This window comes from Homo sapiens, chromosome 10 (assembly GCF_000001405.40).
Source record: "Homo sapiens chromosome 10, GRCh38.p14 Primary Assembly".
In the NCBI taxonomy this organism is placed as follows: domain Eukaryota; kingdom Metazoa; phylum Chordata; class Mammalia; order Primates; family Hominidae; genus Homo; species Homo sapiens.
The window spans coordinates 12,177,538-12,201,315 of NC_000010.11; the positions used below are offsets into that span (position 1 = coordinate 12,177,538).

The window sequence follows — 23,778 nt, forward strand, 5'->3', positions numbered from 1 at the left end:
AACAAAAAAGGCTGGAGGCAGCATTGCCAAGAGGAGGTTGGGATGGGTGGGAGGTGGCCTTGTGTCGCCTTCACGGGTTCAGAGGGTTGTTGGGGTGTCCTGGGGGCCTGGAGGAGCCTCGCTACGAAATGGTTTAGTTTTACTTAAAACCACAAGGACAGATTAAAAACTGCAGAGCTGAGCTTTGCAGTTCTCAGGCTTTACCCTGGTTCAGGCCAACATCCCTAAGAAGCAATTCGATGTTGAGTGACTCACCTGCAGGGAACTCTATGCAGTAGCCCCCCATTGGTGGTCGGAACTGTTTCACCAGAACGATACACTCATAGTGAAGTGTTCTCTGCAGCACGGGGATGACCGCGACACCTGTCACCAGGAAATGGAACCAAGGAAATCCCTAATGAGAGGTCAGCAATGCCAGCACATTGTTTAGAGCAAGCTAATGAAAACCCCAGACTTTAAGAAACTCCGTTTTAATCTACAATACTGGCAGTTAATATTGGAAGCTATTTTAAAAATGTAATTAAAAATCATCACTTCCATGTTGTTTACACTTTCTTTTTTAAACAAAAAGGCTGTTTAATTGTCACAGTTTCTTAAACTAAAATCGGAATAAAACGAAACATTTCCTACAGGGTCAAGGATGTAAGGTTTCTGACTACACTGACCTTCCACAGAACCACTTTCCAGCGTGTGGCAGCCCTACCACTGGTGAGGCCACAGCCATCCCTGTGCTCCTGGGTCAACTTTGAGCAAGAAATCAAGTAAGTTCCACTGTCTGCAATAAATGCTAGCAAGACTGATTTTCCAGTTTTAGGGTAAAAGACCTTTCCTCTCAAGTTACTTGGCCTTCATTAAAACCTAAGAAAAACAAAAACGACTGGGTTTCAGAAAACACAAAGCACCCAGGAGGGTCCCCTGGCTCCCCACAGCTTCCTATCTGTGAAGCCAGCAGCAGCAGCATAGCTACTGTTTGCTTCCAGCAAAAATGGAAACCAAAACTAAATGGAAAAATAAGAAAAGCCTAGTGCCCAACTTCCCCTCGACCAGAGTGATTCTCAGGATTGTTTGTAGGCTCTTTGCAGTCAAGGCATTCATGCCTGGAGGGGAGGGTGAATGGAATAGGCTTTGCCCAATTAATTCCGTGTCCTCATCAACCTGTAAAGCAAGTGGTCCATAAGCATGAAGGTGTGCCAAGTAACTTTCCAAACTAAAGCCTCTCATCTAGATCCTTCCAACAGGACACAAGGACTTCTAGAAGTCATAACACGTCTAGACACAGGTGTGGCTTCAAACTATATTGATTTACATTTAGTTATAAACATTAGAACAACTTCCCCTCAAAAACAATGTTTTGGGCTTAGATAACAGAAGCCAGAAGTTACTTATAAAGAAAGCTTAATTTCGTTACATAGTATGGCAAAACCTAAGCGGAGATTTAAAGACACAACATCCTAATAGAAGTTAACTTGGTTCCATTGAAAACCCTCTTACGATCACAAGTGCTAACTTCCTTTCTAAAGGGTTGGAATAGGTTTGCACTCCTACCATCCGCAGTCTGCTCTTTCCTGGTTGTACGTTTCACTGATTCCCAAGTTCTGTTCAGGCAGAGAAGAAAAAAAAGTCATTAGTGCTACAGAAGAGAATTTTCTTAGGTTTTCTCTGTACAACCAGAACTTCTTAAATGCAATGCATGCAAATGTACTCATGATACTGGTCAAGAAGACCACAGCAATAAACGTCTGCATTAAAGAAGCTAATTCTGCTTTCCTATAGCTTCTGAAAATTAACAACGAAAACTCTTGCCACCCTACACCTCACCTTCTGGGTGCCCCCGAAACAGAAAGCCTGCTAAGCATGTGAGCTGCCGCTTTCTCAGAAAACTTTAGTTTGGATCCTATGTCTCTGGGCAAGGAGCACAGCCAGTGACAGATTAATAAGCAGGTAATGCAAATGAAGCCATAGGAAAAGACTCACCCCGTCTCTAGGAACAAAAGCTACTATGGACAACGTGAACTATTGAGATTTTCATATCATTTTGATTTTTAAAATATGTGACCTAAAACACACAATTTAAGAAGGTAGAACCTTCCCATTTATTAATGGAAGAATTATTAAATGTAGGCAAGTGCCCCTACTTTGCATGTGTGAGATCTTATCTAGAAAAAGTGGGCTGAGTAACAGCACAGTCCTGCTCTCTTGTATGGCTTTATTCCTGGTTAGCTATTGGTTTCTGACTGTTACCCAACTCAGCTTTTGGGTAACATCTGTGCTATTCTACTTTCTGGCCTTGGAACATGGGGCACAGTTGTACAGGAAACCCAGTTACTGACACAATTATGCAGTTTAAAGGGGCGAGGCATAAAAGGAACATTCTCCCTTCACTCTCTTCTCCCTACAACAGAAAAAAGCAGTGGTAAGAGACCAGAGTGGAGAAGCAAACAATTTTAGGATCTCTTTTAAAGGAAGTGAAACATGTGGGTGGCTCTGGGGCTTGGGATAAAAAGGAGTTACCACCTGCATCTCGATAGTAAGAGCTGCAAGATATCCTCCTCGGAACCCTCCTGCTCATGCTTCCTATCCGGCTGTCCTTAAAATTTGGACCTTGTCATATTTTCATTAAAATTGTTCAAATATTTAATTTGCTTTTTAAAAAACAAAACAAAAAGACTGTCTGGAAATTGTAGGTCTTTCAGCATTGTACCCAAATTCCGAAGGCCAAATATGTCAAAATGAACACAGGAAAATCAAACAGACTTCTATGACAACTCACAGCAGCCCAACATTCCTGTTAGTAGCAAGGAGCTGACCAACAAGCAATGCTGGTAAGTAAATCATACAGATTGCAAGAGATGAACACCTTTTGGCATAGCTCTCTCTGCTGCCTCCTAAGGTTAGTCCTAAAGACTGAAGAAGACAGTGCTGGGAAAAGCACTGAAGGTCCCATCCCAAACACTAGGAATAAGGGAAACAAAAAGAGGAGCATCATTATCGTGGTTAAGGTGAAGGAAACAAGCAGTAACGAGCCATAAATCACCAGCAATAAAACAGAAACGCATTGATAAGAAATCTCGGAATAAGATTGCCCAGTGAGAGCTCCAACAACTTCAAAGGGCCTGTGAGATGCACAGCTGACTGGAAGTCAGCTCTTCGTCTCTACTTGCCCGCCAGCTAAGCCCAGAGCTCCAGCCTCCCTGAGGCTCTTCCCTCCTTTGTAAAAAGCAGGAATGAGTATGTTTTCTCCAAAACCTCTTCTAGCTTTAGGATTCTGCTTCCAGTGAGATCATCCTATTCCTAGTCTTCTTTGTTATGGAAAAGCCTGTTGGCCTTCCTCCCTCTAGTTCACCAACACAAGAGGCGGGAGGGTCAGAGGGTGACTTCGGCACTGTCTTGAATGTCAATAGACACAACACTACTGGAATATTTTTATATTTCTAAAATTAACCCCACATCCCCTTTCATGAATGAGACGGTGGAACATAGGATTCTCTAGCTGCTATTTTATCTCTTAGACTCGGCCCTTCATATCCGTGGGTTCTGCATTCATGGATTCAACCAACCACCCATTGAAAATATTTAGGAAAAAAATTGCATCTATACTGAACAGGTCCACACTTTTTCTTGCCATTATTCCCTAAACAATAGAGTACGACTGTTGACACAGCATTTGCATTGTATTAGGTGCTGTGATTACTCTAGAGATGAAGTGCGTGGGAGGATGTGCATAGGTTAGAGGCAAATACATACTGAGTATCTGCATTTTCATATCAGGGACTTCAGCATCTGTGGATTTTGGTATCTGCAGGGGGTCCTGGAACCAACCCCGACAGACACCAAGTGACAGCTGTACAGGTTGAGTATTCCTTACCCGAAACGAGGGGCCGGAAGTGTTTCAGAGTTTGGTTTTTCAGATTTTGAAATATTTGCCTTACCCTCTGGGTGTCATGCAGGCCTTTTTGACATTTTGAACAGTATCTTTACCCCACAGAGCAGGAAATAAGCCAAAGAACCCCACAATGAGTCATGCACATAGGTCTCAGCCCTGTGTAGGGTGTTGTGGGGAACTGCTGCTGGGCATCCGGTCTGCACACATGCCATTTCATGACCCTCTGTGGGAGTACCTGCAGAGGGAAGTCGCCGTGTGCGTGCAAAGGATATATCGGGCCGGGTGTGGTGGCTCACGCCTGAAACCCCAGCACTTTGGGAGGCCAAGGTAGGAGGACTGCTTGAGTTCAGGGGTTCGAGACCAGCCTGGGCAACATAGTGAGACTCTGTCTCTACTAAAAAAATAAAAATTAAATAAATTTAAAAAAAAAGGATATGGCCGGATGCGGTGGCTCACGACTGTAGTCCTAGCACTTTGGGAGGCCAAGGTGGGTGGATCACCTGAGGTCAGGAGTTTCAGACCATCCTGGCCAACAACACTGCCTCTACTAAAAATACAAAAATCAGCCAGGCCCAGTGGCATGCACCTCTAGTCCCAGCTACTCGAGTGGCTGAGATAGAATTGCTAGAACCAGGGAGGTAGAGGTTGCAGTGAGCTGAGACCACACCATTGCACTCTAGCCTGGGCAACAGAACAAGACTCTGTCTCAGGGTAAAAAAAAAAAAAAAGAAGGATATAGCTGAGCTGAAGGGGAGGGTTCCTTTTCCCCTGGGGGGACACTGAATGTCTGTGTTGTATGCCTGTGTTCTGACTGCAGCCTGTCACACAGAGTCAGGTGTGGAATTCTCCAGCTGGGGCATCATGTTGGCAATGAAAAGGTTTTGGATTTTGCAGCATTTTGAATTTCAGATTTTCAGATTAGGGCTGCTCAACCTGTACACGCAGGCTTTTATATCAGGTCAGAGATAACACATCCTATAAATTATACATCGTGGCATACAGGAAAGTACAAAGACTCATTCTTCAAAGGGTGACATTCTGGTATAAAATATTAGTGCTTTACATAAATCCTCTTCAGAGGCCAGGAAAAAAACCCTATGTATGGAAGAATGGACATGACCATGCTATAAATATGGTAGTTTGGTGGATTTTAGAGCCTACTCCCAATCTACTGAAATAGATATTCTGAAGTGAGATTTCGTCGTATTTTCAGAAAAGTCCCCATATGATTCTGATGTACATCCCTGATTAGGAAATGCAGGAAGGGCAGAAGACCAGTCAGGCGAAGAGATGAGCTGGCGCGAACACATCTTTTTATTTTATTTTTATTTTTTGAGATGGAGTCTCGCTCTGTCGCCCAGGCTGGAGTACAGTGGTGCAGTCTCGGCTCACTGCAACCACCTCCTCCCGGGCTCAAGCAATTCTCCTGTCTCAGCCTCCGGGGTAGCTGGGATTACAGGCGCATGCCACCACGCTGGGCTAATTTTTGTATTTTTAGTAGAGACGGGGTTTCACAATGTTGGCCAGGCTGGTCTCGAACTCTTGACCTCAAGTGATCCACCCACCTTGGCCTCCCAAAGTAATGGGATTACAGGCGTGAGCCACTGCGCTTGGCCTCAAACACATGTTTAGACTCATTAGAGTTGAGGGCTATGTTTTGTGTTATAAACTTAATTTGACAGGCAAAAGAGAACCAAACTGTATCACTATACATTGGGTTCCAACCTCTCTATAGTTTCACAAATATAAATACATTTGAACATATGGTGCTCCCTAAGACTTGGGCCTTGCCACATTTCTGTATCGGGTTTGGGCCCTACTTATTTTGTACATTTAGTTTTCCATATCAAACTCACTTGGCATCTTAAGTGAAGAGTTACAGTCTTTCATGGTTGGTGGATCATACTGTGCTTAGCTTTCTTACTGCTGGGTTTTAATTCAGCAGTGCTATCTATCTCTTAACATGTTTCCTACAGCTCTCCCACATTAGGCCTTATTAAGGGCTTTGCTAGTTTAGTAGATATAATCACAGTTGTTCAGATGACTGGCAAGCCCATGTATTTGCATCTTGACGATCTATTTCATCACAAAGAAATCATGTACTCTTATTGGATCACTTTGCAAATGGAGTTCTCATACTGATGAATTTTTATCACGTGATCTGGTTACTAAATTTCATCCTCATTCTGTTGTACTCCATTTAAATTTCACTAAGTAAAAAATTAATTTTCATAGTATTTTCTTCTTATAGTTTATAATATCAAAAGATTGCTATGCAAAAATCTGGAAAGTAAAAGAAAAAAGGTTAACCACACAGCTTTTTTCCCATTTTGCTATAATTTTCCTTCCGGCTTTTTCTTACACGTTATTTGGCAGAGTTTGAAAAGCATATACATACTTTTCTACTTTGTTATCAACTTAGGAGCTTTTCCCATATTGCTAGGTTGTCTTCAGAATCTGCTTTTTAGACGGCTGCAGAGATTTTACCAAGGGAATACACTATAACAATTCATTTCCTATTTTTAAGATATTTAGGTTGCTTTCAGTTTTTCTTTTAAAATTTTGGTGAACATTTTCTATACATAAATTTAATTCTGAATGCTAATTTACTTAATACTTTCTTTTTGTTGTTGTTGTTTTTGTTTTTTTGAGACAGAGTCTCACTCTGTCACCCAGGCTGGAGTGCTGTGGTGTGATCTCAGCTCACTGCAACTTCCGCCTCCCGGGTTCAAGCAATTCTCCTGCCTCAGCCTCCCAAGTAGCTGGGATTACAGGGCCACCAGGCCCAGCTATTTTTTGTATTTTTAGCAGAGATGGGGTTTCGCCATGTTGCCTAGGCTGGTCTTGAACTCCTGACCTCAACCGATGCCCCCCGCCCCGGCCCCCACCCTTGGCCTCCCAAAGTGCTGGAATTACAGGCGTGAGCCAACACACCTGGCCCTTAACACTTTGTTAAAACTGGGATTACTCGGTCAAAGGGTACAGTATCTTTAGGGCTACTGACACATATTATGAAATAGGGTGTACAAAATGTTTTTTTCCCAATTTGCATTTCCATGAGGCAGGCACGTACCTCAAAATTAGCAATGTTGTTGTTTTCTCTTTATTTCTTCTAATTTAGAAATTAAAAACAGATTTTACTAGAAGGAAGCAACATGTACTGTTAATTATTCTGTCACCTTATCAGCTTAAATTAGGTTTGGCCCAAAAGTTTTAGGTCTACACTTGTCTACTTAGGGAGAATGGTATTAAAATAGTTTTCTGATTAGTTATTGTAACACATTTACAACCCAATTTTATTCAGCAACTATAAATGATGCAAACATCCTAACACTGGAAAAACAGCTAAATCAGATTATTTAAAACAGAGTTTACAAAAAAGAAAACATCAAAGTTTATGCAAAACACTCAACAGATAACCTGAGAACCCAAATAACGAACATTTTGTAAGAAAAAAAAAAAGTTTACCTAGTTTTACCAGTAGGATCCATGTACGTTGTTTTTTCAAGCTTGACCCATTTTCCTTCTGAAATTAACTAAAAGGATATCAGATAATAAGTTGGGAAACTTTCAAACCAAGTTGTTTTTATCTAAAAGGGTTTTTCTTTCACATTTCCTCTGTCTTTCCCCAGACTCCCAATAATCATCTTTCCTTCCCAATAATCTGTGGGCACGTTTTTCAGTTCAGAGTAGGTAGGTATTCAGGGTTGTTTTTTTAAAGGGCACTTCTGCTTCTTTTTGAAATTTCTTGGTGGTAGTAGTTAACAGGTGAAAAGAAATGACAGTCTAAAAACTCCTGGGGGCTGGGGGAAGGGGTGGGGCATGGAGGTAACTGGAAGGGAGCACATGGGGTGAGGGTGTCCTGGGACGCTCCTGATGGTCTGTCCCCTGACCTGGGTGCATACAACACAGGTGAGTTTCATATGTAGAAATGGCCATTTCTAGACACTGGTATTTTTCCTGTCAGTGATGACACAGGAAGGCGGACTGTGGGGAAACAGGGTCCATCCAGGATTGGATCTCCTATCATGACACGTGGGTTTCCCACCCAACCACAGATGGACACCCCAGGTTCGTTCTGCCTAGACACTGGGGAGTTCTGGTGTTGGAGACTAACTTACCTACGGCACTATACTGAACTGAGAGGAAAGCGTCACTGCGTATAAAGCAGTAGCCTTTCTCCTACTATCCTATCTTTCACTTCTTGCCAGCAGCAACCTAATCATTTTCAGCAGATCTGTTCACAGACAACATGGAAAGATTTTAAACCAAAAGGAATTCCAGAAAGGTGTCAAGATCAGAGATCCAAGATGAAGGATTTAAAATTTATCCACTGCAATGGTTCCTGCAGGAAGAGACTTTTAAAGCTAAATTGAATAACACAGAGACATACATTGGTTCTAGAATTCACTGGAATTTAGACTACAATTAACAACGTAGGTTTTTATTGTTCTTAAACACTCATGTTAGGCCATCAACAGCCAAGTTGTGACAACTACATATGAAATATCTGAGTCCGCAAATGCATATATTCTTTCTTCTTCTATCTAGGGAAATACAGGAAGGATTAAGAATTTTTCTGTTAAGAGCCCAAATCTCCTAGAGTCTCAATTTCACTAATACACAGAGAGACACACTACTCCTCCCACACAAGAGCAAAATGTGCCCGAGCCCAAAAAAGGGAGTAGGAAAAATCTTTACAACTGTCTTCAAGAATGAAAGACCACCATTGTAACAACAGTCTATATATTTCTGCTAAACTCAGATTTATGTGGGGGAGGGAAGGGAAAGTGAAAAACAAGTTATACCTCCTCTGAAATGATATACTGTTTGCCATTCTGAGAAGATTCCGTTGGTTCTTGGCTCTCCATTTTCAAACGAGTCTTTACAGCCCTCAGGTGAGAAGTTCACCCTGCAAGATAATGAGATTTGTTCAGGCTAAAATTATTTTTCTGAATTAAACATTCGTCCACAGGACACTAGTCAAAGTACTTAAACGGCAAAAAATTCATCTACCATCAACGCTGCCTGTCTCAGTATGTGAGGGAACTGCCGCAGGTGGAAATGTGAACAGGGAGGCCCGGGGATTAGCCAGGAAGGAAGTGACAGCAGTCCTAGTCACCCTCAGCCACAACAGCCAAGCTCCTGCCATGCCTGTTCTAGGCACTTAGAGGCCACCCTTCTTCATCAGATTTTTCTTTTTTTTTTTTTCTTTTTTGTTTTTTTTGAGAGAGTCTCACTCTGTTGCCCAGGGTGGAGTGCAATGGCGCGATCTCAGCTCACTGCAACCTCCGCCTCCTGGGTTCAAGTGATCCTCGTGCCTCAGCCTCCCGAGTAGCTGGGATTACAGGCATACATCACCAGGCCTGGTAATTTTTATATTTTTAGTAGAGACAGGGTTTCACCACGTTGGCCATGCTGCTCTCAACCTCCTGACATCAAGTGATCTGCCCTCCTTGGCCTCCCAAAGTGCTGGGATTACAGGCGTGAGCTACCGCGCCCAGCCTGATTTTTCTGACTCCGAATCTTAAACTCTTTCCAAGGGAAGACAGAAGAAAGATTTACCACTCTCCATGCCCACCTCTCAGTCTTTTATCCATCTGTTACACCTAAACTTACTTATTTTTTGAGATGTAAGATCTCACTCTGTTGCACAGGTTGGAGTGCAGTGGCGAAATCATGGCTCACTGTAGCCTCTACCTCCCAAGCTCACGTGCTCCTCGCATCTCAGCCTCCTGAGTAGCTGGGATTACAGGTGCATGCTACCACAGCCAACTAATGTTTTAAACTTTTGGTAGAGGTGGGGTCTCACTATGTTTCACAGGCTGGTCTCAGACTCCCGGGCTCAAGCGATCCTCCTCCCGCCTCGGTGTCCCAAAGTGCTGGGATTACAGGCATGAGCCACTGGACCCACCTCCCCACTTACTTTTAAGTTTCAGCATGTATCAAAGTCATAGTTGCAGAGAAAGGATCGAGTAGTACTACAAGTTCTGTTATGAAAAGAGCAGGCCCTTATCCCATTTATTGTATATTATTATTTCCTCTTTCTTTATTCCTTCATTTTCGGACCTTGCCTGTCCGAAGGTCAAAGTCTTTTTTTCTTACCCACACACATGGTTGTTAATTCAGCTGTATATAGAATTATAGACCCAAAGCCAGTTGTCTATGAAACTGTAAGGCATTGCTTAGTTGTCTTACTTCTGGTGCTGCTGTTGAGAAGTCCAAAGCTATTCTTATTCTTGATCTTTTTGCCATGTGACCTGTCTTCCTCCTCTGGAAGCTTGTAGTTAGTCACTTTCATGTCGATGTTATTGTACTGGGAAGTCAAGTGGGTCCTTTCAATCTGGAAACTTCTTACTATGCTTCTTTACAGGGAATTTTTTTCTTGAACGACTTCACTGATGATTTCCTCCCCTGTGTTTTCTCTGTTGTTTCTTTTAAGAACTGTTACTTGGACCAGGCACAGTGGCTCACACCTGGAATCCTAGCCCTTTGGGGGACCAAGAGTCTGAGACCAGCCTGGGTAACATGGCAAAACCCTGTCTCCACAAAAATAAAAAATAAAAAAATTAGCCGGGTGTGGTGGTGGGCACCTGTAGTCCCAGCTACTCAGGAAGCTGAGGCAGGAGGGTCATTTGGACCCAGGAGTTGGGGGTTGCAGAGAGCCGAGATCACGCCACTGCACTCTTACGTTCCACGGTTCTCTAACCTACCCCACCTAACTTCGGCTTCAAAGAAAATACAGCCCACCCAGCATCAACTCTCTTCCCAACTGTCCTAAAGGAAAAAGTGAGTCTGCTCTTTGTTTCTTCTGGGACCCAAAGTGATCATACTACCCATCTGATCTTCAATTTGTCCCCAAGACAGCAAGCTTCCCTATTCTAAAATACAATCAATAACAAAACCAACTGTATGAATATTCATAAAGTGCGTTTACAAATCAAATATCTGATTGACTATCATAGGTAACCCTTGTGGCCAACCTGTGAAAGGTGAGATGATGTTTTAGGAAAGTGGCGGTGAGGCCGGGTGCGGTGGCTCACGCCTCACGCCTACAATCCCAGCACTTTGGGAGGCCAGGGCGGGTGGATCACGAGGTCAAGAGATGGAGACCATCCTGGCCAACATGGTGAAACCCTGTCTCTACTAAAAATACAAAAATTAGCTGGACGTGGTGGGGTGCGCCTGTAGCCCCAACTACAGGGAAGGCTGAGGGAGGAGAATGGCTTGAACCCAGGAGATGGAGGTTGCAGTGAGCTGAGATCGTGCCACTGCACTGCAGCCTGGCGACAGAGCAAGACTCCATCTAAAAAAAAAAAAAAAAAAAAAAAAGTGGTGGTGAGAGGGACAAAGACCCTCACTCCCCCGGACCTCATTTTCCAGTGAGGAGAAAGGAAAAACAGTGAGGAAGAACACAAAATTTATGTCAAGTGACTCAGCGTTTCATGAAGAAAGATTAAAAAGGATGAGAAGTGTGGGGAAGATGGGAAGAGTAATCTACACGGAGTGATCAGGCAAGGCCTGTTTAATTTGGTGACTTCTGAATGGAGACCTGAAAGCAATAAGGAAGTAAACCACGTAGAAGTTTAAATATTTAGAGACAGACATTAGCATATTGAAACCTGCAGCCCTACTAAGAAAACAGGCACTTATTCCTTTGAAAGTACCATAGATGATAATTTATTAGGTAAACTTTTTTTTTTGAGATGGAGTTTCGCTCTTGTTGCCCGGCTGGAGTGCAAAGGCATGATCTCGGCTCACTGCAACCTCTGCCTCACGGATTCAAGCGATTCTCCTGCCTCAGCCTCCCGAGTACCTGGGATTACAGGCTCCTACCACTGCACCCGGCTAATTTTTACATTTTTAGTAGAGATGGGGTTTTGCCATGTTGGGCAGGCTGGCCTCGAACTCCTGACCTCAGGTGATCCACCAGCCTCAGCCTCCCAAAGTGCTGGGATTACAGGCGTGAACCACCGTGCCTGGCCGCTAAAAGAGAGTATTTCTTTGGAATGCAATCAGCCTCAAAGGGAAACAGTATCGTGCAGCAATCCACTGATTCCGTGAATGACAAAAATGAGCTATTTCAAGAGCATATTCTTAACTATGAGATTCCCAAACATTTCAGAAGGACTGTAAAAGTACCTCAGAAATTTTTAGAAACAGAAAAGGAATGTTGTTTTTAGCACCATTTCAAAAGCAGAAGCCAAATAGTGCCATTCGGGGGCCAGTCACTGCCAGCAACACGCTGCAGAAAGAACGAGAAATGAGCTTTAAATTCCGTGCTTTGTAAGCCAGCGTCTCCGCCACTGCAACGGAGTTTGCCTTCACTGACTCAACGCTATTTCAAGATTTAAAAGCAAACTTTGATATAAATTTTATCCACTTCATTAGTTAGAATTTAAGGTAATTTGCATATTGCCAATATGTGTATGGTATGAAAAAGATACATGTACACGATGTTGAGTGTTCTACAATTTTTTTTTTTTTTTTTGAGACAGAGTCTTGCCTTGTCGCCCAGGCTGGAGTGCAGTGGCGCGATCTCCGCTCACTGCAAGCTCCGCCTCCTGGGTTCATGCCATTCTCCTGCCTCAGCCTCCCAAGTAGCTGGGATTACAGGTACCTGCCACCATGCCTGATTAATTTTTTGTATTTTTAGGAGAGACGGGGTTTCACCGTGTTAGGATGGTCTCGATCTCCTGACCTCGTGATCCACCCGCCTCGGCCTGCCAAAGTGCTGGAATTACAGGCGTGAGTCACCGCGCCAGCGAGTGTTCTACAATTTCATTTATGATTTTCCTTAGTCTTTAAAGTCACAAGCTGTTTTAATTCTCATAAATCGTTTTAACTCAGTTCAGTTTGAACACTGAAGGTCTAGGATGTGTTGGATGTGTAATTCTCCAGAGCATAAAAAAAACACTAGTGAGGGGAAATGCTGTAAGATTTTTAGACGTCTTGCACAGTGGCAGGCTAACTAGCAGTCTCTAACTAGCTTCGAGAGCACCAGCAGTGGAAACGTCTGTGTATATACTCAGTGCACACTGACCACTATGCTTGCCCTTGAGCACGTTACAGTTTAGCAAGCACATCTGGGGCAAAGACCTGCCTCAGAGACACCACCATACCAGGATGTTTTAAAGGAGGGACACACACATCCCCTTGGGAGGCAGTGAGGAAAATGATAAAGCCTTTTTTTTTTTTTTTTTTTTGAGACTGAATCTCGCTGCAACACCCAGGCTGGAGTGCAATGGCATGATCTCGGCTCACTGCAACCTCCACCTCCCAGGTTGAAGCAATTCTCCTGCCTCAGCCTCCTGAACAGCTGGGATTACAGGCCTGTACCACCACACCCGGCTGATTTTTGCATTTTTAGTAGAGACGGGGTTTCACCATATTGGCCAGGCTGGTTTCGAACTCCTGACCTCAAGTGATCCACCCACCTCGGCCTCCCACAGCACTGGGATTACAGGGGTGAGCCATCACACCCAGCCAAGATTTTTAAAAGATAGTTTGATGTGAAGACATGGTTTAGAGACCAAGAGTGCAGAGAAAGCATTCCAACTAGAAGACACCACATGAACAAAGGCAGAGACACCGGGGCAAGGGTGAGAAATTCTGAGTGTATGGCGAGCTCTGTGGTTCTCAAGCTCCTCCTCCACTTTCTCCTTTAAAAAACAAAGGAAAGGCCGGGCACAGTGGCTCATGCCTATAATCCCAGCACTTGGGGAGGCCGAGGCGGGTGGATCACGAGGTCAGGAGATCGAGACCATCCTGGCTAACATGGTGAAACCCCATCTCTACTAAAAATACAAAAAAATTAGCCAGGCTTGGTGGTGGGCGCTGTAGTCCGGGCTACTCAGGAGGCTGAGGCAGGAGAATGGCATGAACCCGGGAGGTGGAGCTTGCAGTGAGCCAAGATTGCGCCACTGCACTCCAGCCTAGGCGACAGAGCAAGACTCCGTCTCAAAAACAAAAACAAAACAAAACAAAAAAAACCACAAAGGAAAAACCACCACCACAAAACTCCCAAAACAACTCCACATATAATGATGATTTGCGAACACATTTCTAAGGCCATACACAGATTTGGCTGGATCTCTGCCCCCAAAACTGCAGGCCAACAAAGCACACAAAGCTAACTGGCATGGCACAAATTACTGTTGTGATATGAGGTAGTTTTGGGGGCCAGTGCCATGCACTGCATGTGCCTATAGTCCCGGCTACTTGTGGAGGCTGAGGTGGGAGGATCGCTTGAGCTGAGGAATTCATGATGACCCTAGGAAACATAGTGAGATCCTATGTAAAAAATGAAAAAACAAACACCAAAATAAACTAATTTTGGGGTTAGGCAGCAAGTACAGCCCTCTACAGAAAGGGAGGAAGTGATTAATTTTTCACCAACTTCAGTATGCCAGTATTAGTAACAACAGCTGCATAAAGAGTTAAGTGGGAGTTTAGATTCCAGAAGTTAAACTATGAACTCAAAAGCCTGGTTCTGCAGTTGGCACTGAGGCTCATTACTCAATCACCGTACCCGAATCCCGGCCATCTGCTGAGGCTGCAAAGTGAAGCAAAAAATCCTAACAAGAAATTGTATGTTGGCTAGGTCTCTCCTGATAAAAGATGAATATTGTTAATATCAACAATACTCAACCAAATACAAGATGCAGGAGCCCACATCATAAGTAGAGCCTCTGACTGACAAAAGAGGGTCAGGCACTTGGAACAGTTTAATAATTGAATAGGGAAATCAACAAGGCACTTTGAAAGAAATTAAGTGGGGAGCTGAGGCAGGAGAATCGCTTGAACGAGGGAGGTGGAGGTTGCAGTGAGCCGAGATCATGCCACTACACTCCAGCATGGTGACAGAGTGAGACTCTGTCTCCAAAAAAAAAAAGAAAAGAAAAGAAAAGAAATTAAGTGGGAGAGAGGATCAATTTTTTTTGCAGTAATAACTTACTTTATGATTGTCTTGTTAAAGTCAGGCATCAAATTGGGCATGTCTAAAGTGGCAATCTACATTCTGGCAGAATAATTACAAAGAAAAGTCACTTGATTTAGAAGGAACAAAGAATCAAATAATTTGCAGTTATATTTAATAATTTTGGTCATAGTTAAAAATTTTTAAATTCTATTTTTAAAAGATAATATTCTGGCCGGGCTCGGTGGCTCATGCCTGTAATCCCAGCGCTTTCGGAGGCCAAGGCAGGTGGATCACTTGAGGTCAGGAGTTCGAGCCTAACCAACATAGTGAAACCCCCATCTCTGCTAAAAATACAAAAAATTAGCTGGGTGAGGTGGCACACGCCAGTAGTCCCAGCTACTTGGGAGACTGAGGCACGAGAAAAGCCTGAACCTAGGAGGCAGCAGTTGCAGTGAGCCAAGATTGCACCACTGCATTCCAGCCTGGGCGACAGAGCGAGACTCTGTCTCAAAAGAAAAAAAAAGGATAATATTCTGATGTATCCTTCTTTTGTGCCATTTATGGTAAAAAATTTGGGTACCCACAATTGAATTCACTTATGGGTTTTTTTTTCATTCTCTTCAGGTGTGGCAGTTGGGTGGGCAGGGAGTAATTAACGTTTACTGAAATTATGCTACTTGGTGATCTCCAGGAATCATTTAGCAGGTGGTTTAAAATCCTCACATTTAATGCTGGTTGAGCAAGAGTGAACTGACTGTAATGACCCTTGGGAAGGTGAATTGGTTACAGACGTATAGTAACGACACTGTAAAGATAGTCCAGGCAGGAGATGACAGGTCTGGAGTAGAGTGGTAGCCGTGGCAAAGTGACATTTAATTTCCACGAAGACAGTTTTAAGGGAGACTGGGACATCGGAAGAAAAAAGGGGTGATGCAGAGCTCAAATCTGTACACGCTTGTTTGAGGTGATAGCAGACATCCAGATGAAGAAAACCAGCAGACAGGTGAAAATCTTAATCTAGGATGATTAGTCATGCTATGGATTCAGAGAAAGAAATGTGTTTTTTCATTACTTCATTAGGAATTGCACAATAAATCTCCTCCCCCATAATCACATGACTACTGACTTTTCAGCATGCAGGAGAAAAAGCAAATATTTCCACTGTTGAAAGGTTTTATTGGAGAAACTTGATGAATACAATGACTTCATGGCTTAGTGAAGACAACCACGGTGGTTAAAATACAGTGAACCCTCATTTAGCTGTATCCATTCAAAGTATTTGAGCATCTCCTATGTATAATGTCAATTTATTTGATGCTGGTTAAATGTGTAACAAGTTACTTAAAACCAACTGTAATACCAAAAAGTCATTGAACACACTTCTAAAGTATACTGCCTGAATAAAAGGTATCTATAAAAATTCCTTCCCTGTAGTATCTATATATTTAAGCTTACAAACTTAGCTGCTTTTCTACACACAACTGCAATTCTATATTAAAGCTTTGCAACTGCCTTAATCTCTACACTCTTTTTTTTTTTTTTCCCGAGACGGAAAAAAAAGAGTCTCGCTCTGTTGCCAGGCTGGAGTGCAGTGGCGCGATCTCGGCTCATCGCAACCTCCGCCTCCCGGATTCAAGCGATTCTCCTGCCTCAGCCTCCCGAGTAGCTGGGACTACAGGCATGCGCCAACACGCCCGGCTAATTTTTGATATTTTAGTAGGGACGGGGTTTCGCCATGTTGGACAGGCTGGTCAAACTCCTGACCTCAGGTGATGCGCCCGCCTCGGCCTCCCAGAGTGCTGGGATCACAGGCATGAGGCACCGCGCCCGGCCTATGCTCAAATGTTTCTTGGGCTGTTAAAGTACTGCTCCTCGCAGAAGGGCTATGTTCCCGGGATCTATTCTCTTCCGTACATTCATTCCTATCTTCATTAGAAAACATCTGACCTAAATAAATCCCCCATCGATGCTAACATCTCCTTCCGCGCAATTTTTTACTTTCTAAGTCAAATCAAAACAATTATTTGAGCGACTGCTCCTGTCTGCCATTAAGTCTTTCTGGCACCACCCTCCAGACATATATACAATATTGCTTCTTTCCCTCAAATCAGAAAGGACTGCATAGTTCCGGATCAAGGCATAAATGATGAATCATGACTGTCCATCCCCACCAACATACTCTGCAACATTATAATCTATTTACCTCTGCTTTGAAAATGTATTCTTTAAAGCACTGCTTCCAACTAGCCACTTAGCCAGTAACATTTTTGAGAAAAACAAAACACAACCCAAAACAATGTATATATTCCTGGGGGGAAGAGTTTCTAACTCAAAATACGCAGATAATTGTTTATTATTCTAAGGAACACCCTTCTGAAGAGGCCTGCAGTCGGTGGGGCTGTTTCTAATTTAAAACTACTTAGGTGAACCAGGAAGAATGTACATTTAAGGAGATACTTTTAGACGCAGATGCCTCGCGCAAGCCTAAAGCTCGTGTGGTAAGCGACACGACTAGGGGTTAAAAGCGGCTGGTTGGTAGGCCCGGGGCCGTGGCTCACGCCTTGTAAACCCAGCACTTTGGGAGGCTGAGGCGGGCAGATCACCTAAGGTTAGGAGTTCGAGACCAGCCTGGCAAATATGGTGAAACGCCGTCTCTACTAAAAACACAAAAATTAGCCGGCGTAGTGGCGCGCGCGCGCTCTCAGCTACTCGAGAAGCTAAGGCAGGAGAATCACTTAAACCCAGGAGGCGGAGGTTGCAGTGAGCCAAGATTGCGCCACTGCACTCCAATCTGGGCACAGAGTGAGACTCCGTCTCAAATAAATAAATAAAAGCAGCTAGTTACTTCTCATTCTTTTAACGAAACAAACAAAACTGAACTTTGCTGGGTGACAGGAGTGAAGCAAAGGAAAAAACGATAGTACAAGTTCGATTCGAATTCTTCCAGTCTTATGATTCGATCATCGCAGGAATACTGATAAAAATCTGCGTTTTTTCCAGGTTGACAACTTTTGCGAGGCCAGACTAAACGAATTCAGCGCTCCAAGGAGACTCCTCTTTCCTCTGCTTTCTCACATTTACCTCTCGCCTTTTACCTCCCAAAGTCGAACCCTCCAGGATCGTACAGGCGGTATTCCCTCTACCAAGCATTCTACTCCTCTGCAGATGCTGCAATCTTTACACTGGAACTAACACTTAGCTGTGGTGTTCCCCGCTTTCTTTACTCGGAGTAGCCCAGGCTCTTCCTCTCCAATCCACAATTTCCCTCCAATCCCCAGTTTCCCTCTTGGGCGCCTGGACGCGTGCCCAGCCGCAGCCTGGGAGACACCGCGCGGCTGCACGCACCATGCAGATGTGGTCCCTTTCCCCTTCTTCTTCTCCTCCCCAAAGAGGTTTTGTGCTGTGACTGGCTTGCCCCGGTTACTTACTCCAAGGTGTAGGGGTGAAGAACGGAAGAGGACGAAATAACTAGCTGGAGGCAGCAGTGTCAGCCGATGCCGGTGCCACGGCTCGAAACACCGGCGCCTCTCGCGGTGCTAAAAGGATGGGCGCGCACCCTCCTTCCGGCATCCGTAGAACCCCCGCCTTTGACCTAGCTTCAGGAGATTACTTTCCGGGTCAGCGTGCGTTTAGGGCGAAGACGGAGTTGTAAACTTCTTAAAATTCCTCTCTCGACACTTCGGTAATTCCTCTTTCGAGACTAAAGCTCTTTTTGTATGCGTGTGTGTCAAGCGTATGCCCCGGGATTCTCCTCCGCTTCCTTTTCTCGGTCTTCCTTCTTGCTTTAGGGACCGGAAGAGTCCTTGAACCAAAATAGCTCGGCGGGCACTTCCGGGGCCGGCGCCCAGAGTTCCGGGAGGGTGCAGGCAGGAGAGGGAAAGGCAGCAGCGGCGGCAGCTGGAGGATGAAGAAGGAGCATGTGCTTCACTGCCAGTTCTCCGCGTGGTACCCGTTCTTCCGAGGCGTTACCATCAAGAGGTGAGATGGGAGGGGGTTCGCCCGGTCGACCGGCAAAAGGGAACTGCGACTTCTGAGCGAATCTTACTGCTATCCAAAAAAATGCAGGCCTTCTAGCGACTGCATGGGAGGGAGTGTGTCGAGAGGGAAGTACATCAGCAATTGTCTGCGTCCTGTTGCGAGCCAGCGAGTGTGCTGGCTAGGAGGGTCAGTTGTGGTTTTCAGTGAGGGTCGGAGGCGGGAGGAATAGTGGATTAACCTAGTTTAGGCTTGGGAGTTCACCACCACTACTTTTAGAATGGCCCCAGGCGCAAGGTGATCACTGCCTAAGTGCACTCGGAGAATTAATTGCTTTTCGCCATCACCCCAGAGGATGGAGATTGGGAAGGTGAAAGGATACGTAATTACAGTTAGATACGAGAACAAGTTCACAGATATGTCGTACAGCATGGAGGCTATAGTTAATGACGATATACGTATTCTTGAAAAACGGAGAGTGGATGTTAGTGTTCTCACCACAAAAATAACTATGTTAGGCAATGCATTTGTTAGCTAAATTTATTCCACAGTGTATATATACTTAAAAACATCAGGTAGGCGGCAAGTATTAATATATACAATTTCATCTCTCAGTTTTTTTAAAGGCGTTGATAGAAAATCTGGGCTTTGCACTTAACTGATTTTCTGAGCCAACATTTCAGTAATTGCTGATTCATTATATGATGGTTTCATTCAATAAAGATCGGATATGTACTTGAAAATGTGTAACTGGCTTAGAATGGTTAAAATGTATAAGAAAAGTTTCAAGTTCTTAAATAGTATTGGAATGTGTGGTAGAACCTTAGATTCATTGTACTTAACAATTTCGCTTGTTAGCTTTGTAAGAGTAAAATACTTAGGAAGGCTTATTTGTAATCAGCAAATAGACATATTAAGAAAGAAAATTGAGTGGTTTATGAATAGAATTTAAAATTTTAAAGAGACTTTTAAGTTGCAAAGTTTCGCTTGAAATTGTTTAAAATTTAGTAGATTTTCAAACGTAATAAGATTTGTTAGAAGAAATTAAAAGCCTGAAGAACTAGATTTTTTTTTTTTGAGACAGAGTTTTGTTCTGTCGCCCAAGCTGGAGTGCAGTGGCAGCGATCTTGGCTCACTGCAAGCTTCCCTTCCCGAGTTCACGCCATTCTCCTGCCTCAGCTTCCTGAGTAGCTGGGACTACAGGCGCCCGCCACCACCCCCGGCTAATTTTTTGTATTTTTAGTAGAGGCGGGGTTTTCACCGTGTTAGCCAGGATGGTCTCGATTGCCTGACCTCGTGATCCGCCCGCCTCGGCCTCCCAAAGTGCTGGGATTACAGGTGTGAGCCACCGCGCCCGGCCAGAACTAGATTTTTGAATGTGAAATTGTACCTTTGATAAATCAAATATTTATTTTTAAAACCGAAGTTTTTGCTCTGTCGCCCAAGCTGGAGTGCAGTGGCAGTGATCTTTTATTTATTTAAAAATAAATAAAAATACTTATTTTTAAAACCGAAGTAGCCCATGAATACTCTTTTTTGTGCAAAAAAACCATTTGTAATGTGCCAAAAAAAACTTCTTCCATAAATAAATGAGACATGTTATAAGTCATTGATGTTCTGTTAACTTCGGGAAAGCAGGCTGTAATCTTTTCCACTTTTTGAAGATGTATATGCCTCAAAATCAAAATAATACCAGCACTCTTAGGGATCTGTGGTAGGGCTTTTTGATAATTTATTATTTCAAGGTAAAAAACAAATTATCCCATAAGTTTTTAAGAGACTTCAGGTATGGCTTTGCCATCCTTAATTATGATTACCTGAAACAAATTAAGCTAAAGCATGCCTAGTTTAAGCAGCTTTATATCTCTGGTGATCAGTTGAATAGAAAGCCAGCAAGACACATCCAAAAGTATCATGAATTCTTAGCGGTAGGTGCTCACTGCCAACCCAAGAATGGTTTCCAGATCTTGACTCTACTTCTGCCCTCTATCTTTAGAAGGTGACCAAATGCTAGTCATCTTCTAGTTGGGTTTGCTGCATTTCCTGTGTTGCAGCAAATATCTGCTGGTCTCTGATTTCTTAAAGACACATAAATGTTGTGCTCACTCAGAATCCTTTTGAGCTTGTTGCTTTCATACTGTGATTTCCATCTGGTGGTTTGGATTTGGCTGGTTTTTGTTTACTACAAAGACCATTGTGGCAATAAGATGAACCGCAGTAATCTTATTATTCTGATTTCTTGTCTACTGCTACCAAATGTACATCATTAACATTTTCTACTTTATATTAAAAGAAAGACAATTCCAAAATTAATCAAGTGTAGAGATTTTTCTCTCTGCTTATAGTTGGTCTTTTAAAATGATGCCTTTTTTGGTGTTTTTTTTTTAGTGTCATTCTTCCACTTCCTCAGAATGTGAAGGATTATTTACTCGATGATGGAACTCTGGTGGTTTCAGGAAGGTAAAGTATTTTAGAAAAAAATTTCTTAAACTTTATCATAAAGAAACACATAAAATGAATGAATTAGCTTAGGCACCATTCTTTCCCTTTAGCTCTTTTTCTCTCCTAGCCAAAATGATGTGCTGATCTTTGTCTCATATTCCTTCTCAATGTTCACTTAATATTTTCAACATTAAGTACTTTTCCCTCTAATAATTACAAGTTGTGAAATTGAGCAGTTCCTTTCATCTCTGTCTTTAGAAAACAGTTATGATGACAACTTTTCCTTCTGACGGTAGCAGGGTGGGGGAAGTACATATTAAAATTCTTTGAGATCCTTCAGTTTTGACGATTAAAAATTCACTGTTGCAAACAGGCTTTATCATCTAATTCCTCAACATTTTCTTCCCCACGATTGAACTACCGTGGCCCCCCCTCCACTTTCTAGAAGCTGTTCAGGTAGTTTCCCTATTTATAGAATAAAGGGAAGAAGTTACTGTGTTTCAGTCTTTTGGATGCAAACTTGAAAACGTTGAAGAATCATAGGATTTAGTGAAGTTCTCATTTTTTAATTCGAGTCTGCTCAGAAGTCACGTTATGAGTGTTCAGCCCTCACCAGCCTTTCTAAAATAGCCTGACAGTAACCCTATGCCCTGACCTCCCTTCATTTTTCTGCATAACACTTACTTCCACCTGACAATTGTTAATTGTTCCATTAGAATGCAGTTTCATGAAAACAGGGACTTGGCCCATTTGTTCACCCCAGCTCATGGAACAGTGCCTGATATAGCAGAAGTGCTTGATAAACATTTGTTGGATGAAGGAACTATAGAAATACAGTAAGAATTGTGTGTTTTCAGTACTACTAACTGGACCCCATATTTTTGCCTGTTGGGTTTTTAGTGTGGTTTTCTGGATTATATTTCTGTTTTTGGTATTCACAGAGCCTCAATAACCTGAAAATTATTAATGTAGCGCCTCATTAACTTTGAATAATTTGAGGCTGAGGAAACAGTAGGAAAGTCAGATAAGTCTCAACTTTAGGATATTTACAGATATAATTTTTTTTGTTTTGTTTTTCTTTTGAGACAGAGTCTCGCTCTGTCACCCAGGCTGGAGTGCAGTGGCGTGATCTCAGCTCACTTCAAGGTCTGCCTCCCGGGTTCACGCTATTCTCCTGCCTCAGCCTCCAAGTAGCTGGGACTACAGGCGCCCACCACCACGCCTGGCTAATTTTTTTTATTTTTAGTAGAGATGGGGTTTTACTGTCTTAGCCAGGATGGTCTTGATCTCCTGACCTCGTGATCTGGCTGCCTCGGCCTCCCAAAGTGCTGGGATTATAGGCCTGAGCCACCGCACTCGGCATTTTTTTTTTTTTTTTTTTTTTTAAAGATGGAGTCTTGCTCTGTCAGCCAGGCTGGAGTGCAGTGGCTCAATCTCAGCTCACTGCAATCTCTGCCTCCCAGGTTCAAGTGATTTTCTTGCTACAGCCTCCCAACTAGCTGGGACAACAGGTGTGCGCCACCACATCCAGCTAATTTTTGTATTTTTAGTAGGGATGGGGTTTCACCATGTTGGCCGGGCTGTCTTGAACTCCTGACCTCAGGTGATCCACCTGCTTCAGCCTCCCAAAGTGTTGGGATTACAGGCGTGAGCCACTGTGCCCAGTCAGTTTTATTCTCAAATACGTGTACCTATTTGCTTTATAAATGAGCTTATATATAATAAGCTTATGTAAATGAGACTATAAGTAAAATAGCTTTTAATATTAGAAAATAATTGGTAAATCTCAGTAGTGTAAACATGTTGAAGAGCTCCTATGATGATTCTCCCTGGCCAGATGTTTGCATGGCCTGTGGCTTAGGCAAGCACTGATGTTAAATACTGTTAAACAGGGCTGGGCGCGGTGGCTCATGCCTGTAATCCCAGCACTTTGGGAGGCCGAGTTGGGTGGATCACCTGAGGTCAGGAGTTCAAGACCAGCCTGACCAACATGGTGAAACCTCATCTCTACTAAAAACACAAAAATTAGCCGGGCATGGTGGTGGGCACCTCTGATTCCTACTACTCGGGAAGCCGAGGCAGGAGAATTACTTGAACGCAGGAGGTGGAGGTTGCAGTGAGCCGAGATCATGCCATTGCGCTCCAGCCTGGACAACAAGAGCTAAACTTCGTCTCAAAAAAAAAAAAGTACTGTTAAACAACACGATACAGTGCTTTACAGTAACCCACAAATCACATAGGGACCCTGCCCTTTTGGAGTTGACAGTTCAGCTTCATATTTGTGAAAGCCAGCATGGCATGGTGCTGTTTCTTTAGTCAGATTGCTTAATTTTAAGTAATATCTTTGCTATTTTCTAGCCCTTCCCTCTGTGCCTCAGTTTCCTTGTCTGAATATTGGGCAAATGACAGTATAGAACTTACTTTGTAGGGTCATTGCAAAGATACAAAGTGATAATACATAAAATGTTCAGTCTAATGCCCACTATATTGTATGCTCTTAAAACATGGAACTACTTTTATTATCATTGATCTAAGATGAACATAGCAAACACACAAG

The 23,778-nt window shown here is 43.3% G+C and overlaps 2 protein-coding genes across 5 annotated transcripts in view, besides 2 other annotated features; one reads left to right on the forward strand and one right to left on the reverse strand.

Annotated features, from left to right (window-relative positions):
• Positions 1-18,354, reverse strand: part of NUDT5 (nudix hydrolase 5) — a 30,562-nt gene extending 12,208 nt beyond the window's left edge. For 2 of the 3 annotated variants that reach the window (NM_001321647.2, NM_014142.4), the window contains exons 1-5: positions 18,233-18,354; positions 8,692-8,795; positions 7,352-7,419; positions 1,546-1,595; positions 256-363 (exon numbers count right to left, since the gene is read on the reverse strand). In NM_001321647.2, coding sequence (NP_001308576.1) covers positions 256-363; positions 1,546-1,595; positions 7,352-7,419; positions 8,692-8,754 — 289 coding nt within the window. In that variant the 5' untranslated portion in view covers positions 8,755-8,795; positions 18,233-18,354. Of the gene's footprint in view, positions 1-255; positions 364-1,545; positions 1,596-2,857; positions 2,953-7,351; positions 7,420-8,691; positions 8,796-18,232 lie in introns of all 3 variants that reach the window. The other variant, NM_001321648.2, reaches the window with a different exon arrangement.
• Positions 12,541-13,391: an enhancer, noted in NCBI's record as "H3K27ac-H3K4me1 hESC enhancer chr10:12232077-12232927 (GRCh37/hg19 assembly coordinates)". NCBI's record gives its function as "activates a minimal SCP1, AML or CMV promoter by ChIP-STARR-seq in naive H9 embryonic stem cells {active_cell/tissue: H9 hESC(naive)}" and the evidence as "EXISTENCE:reporter gene assay evidence [ECO:0000049][PMID:30033119]".
• Positions 18,398-18,667: an enhancer, noted in NCBI's record as "active region_3037". NCBI's record gives its function as "activates an Ori minimal core promoter by ATAC-STARR-seq in GM12878 lymphoblastoid cells {active_cell/tissue: GM12878}" and the evidence as "EXISTENCE:reporter gene assay evidence [ECO:0000049][PMID:35858748]".
• Positions 18,651-23,778, forward strand: part of CDC123 (cell division cycle 123) — a 54,402-nt gene continuing 49,274 nt past the window's right edge. For both annotated transcript variants that reach the window (NM_006023.3, XM_005252638.5), the window contains exons 1-2: positions 18,651-18,782; positions 21,168-21,239. In NM_006023.3, coding sequence (NP_006014.2) covers positions 18,709-18,782; positions 21,168-21,239 — 146 coding nt within the window. In that variant the 5' untranslated portion in view covers positions 18,651-18,708. The remainder of the gene's footprint in view (positions 18,783-21,167; positions 21,240-23,778) is intronic.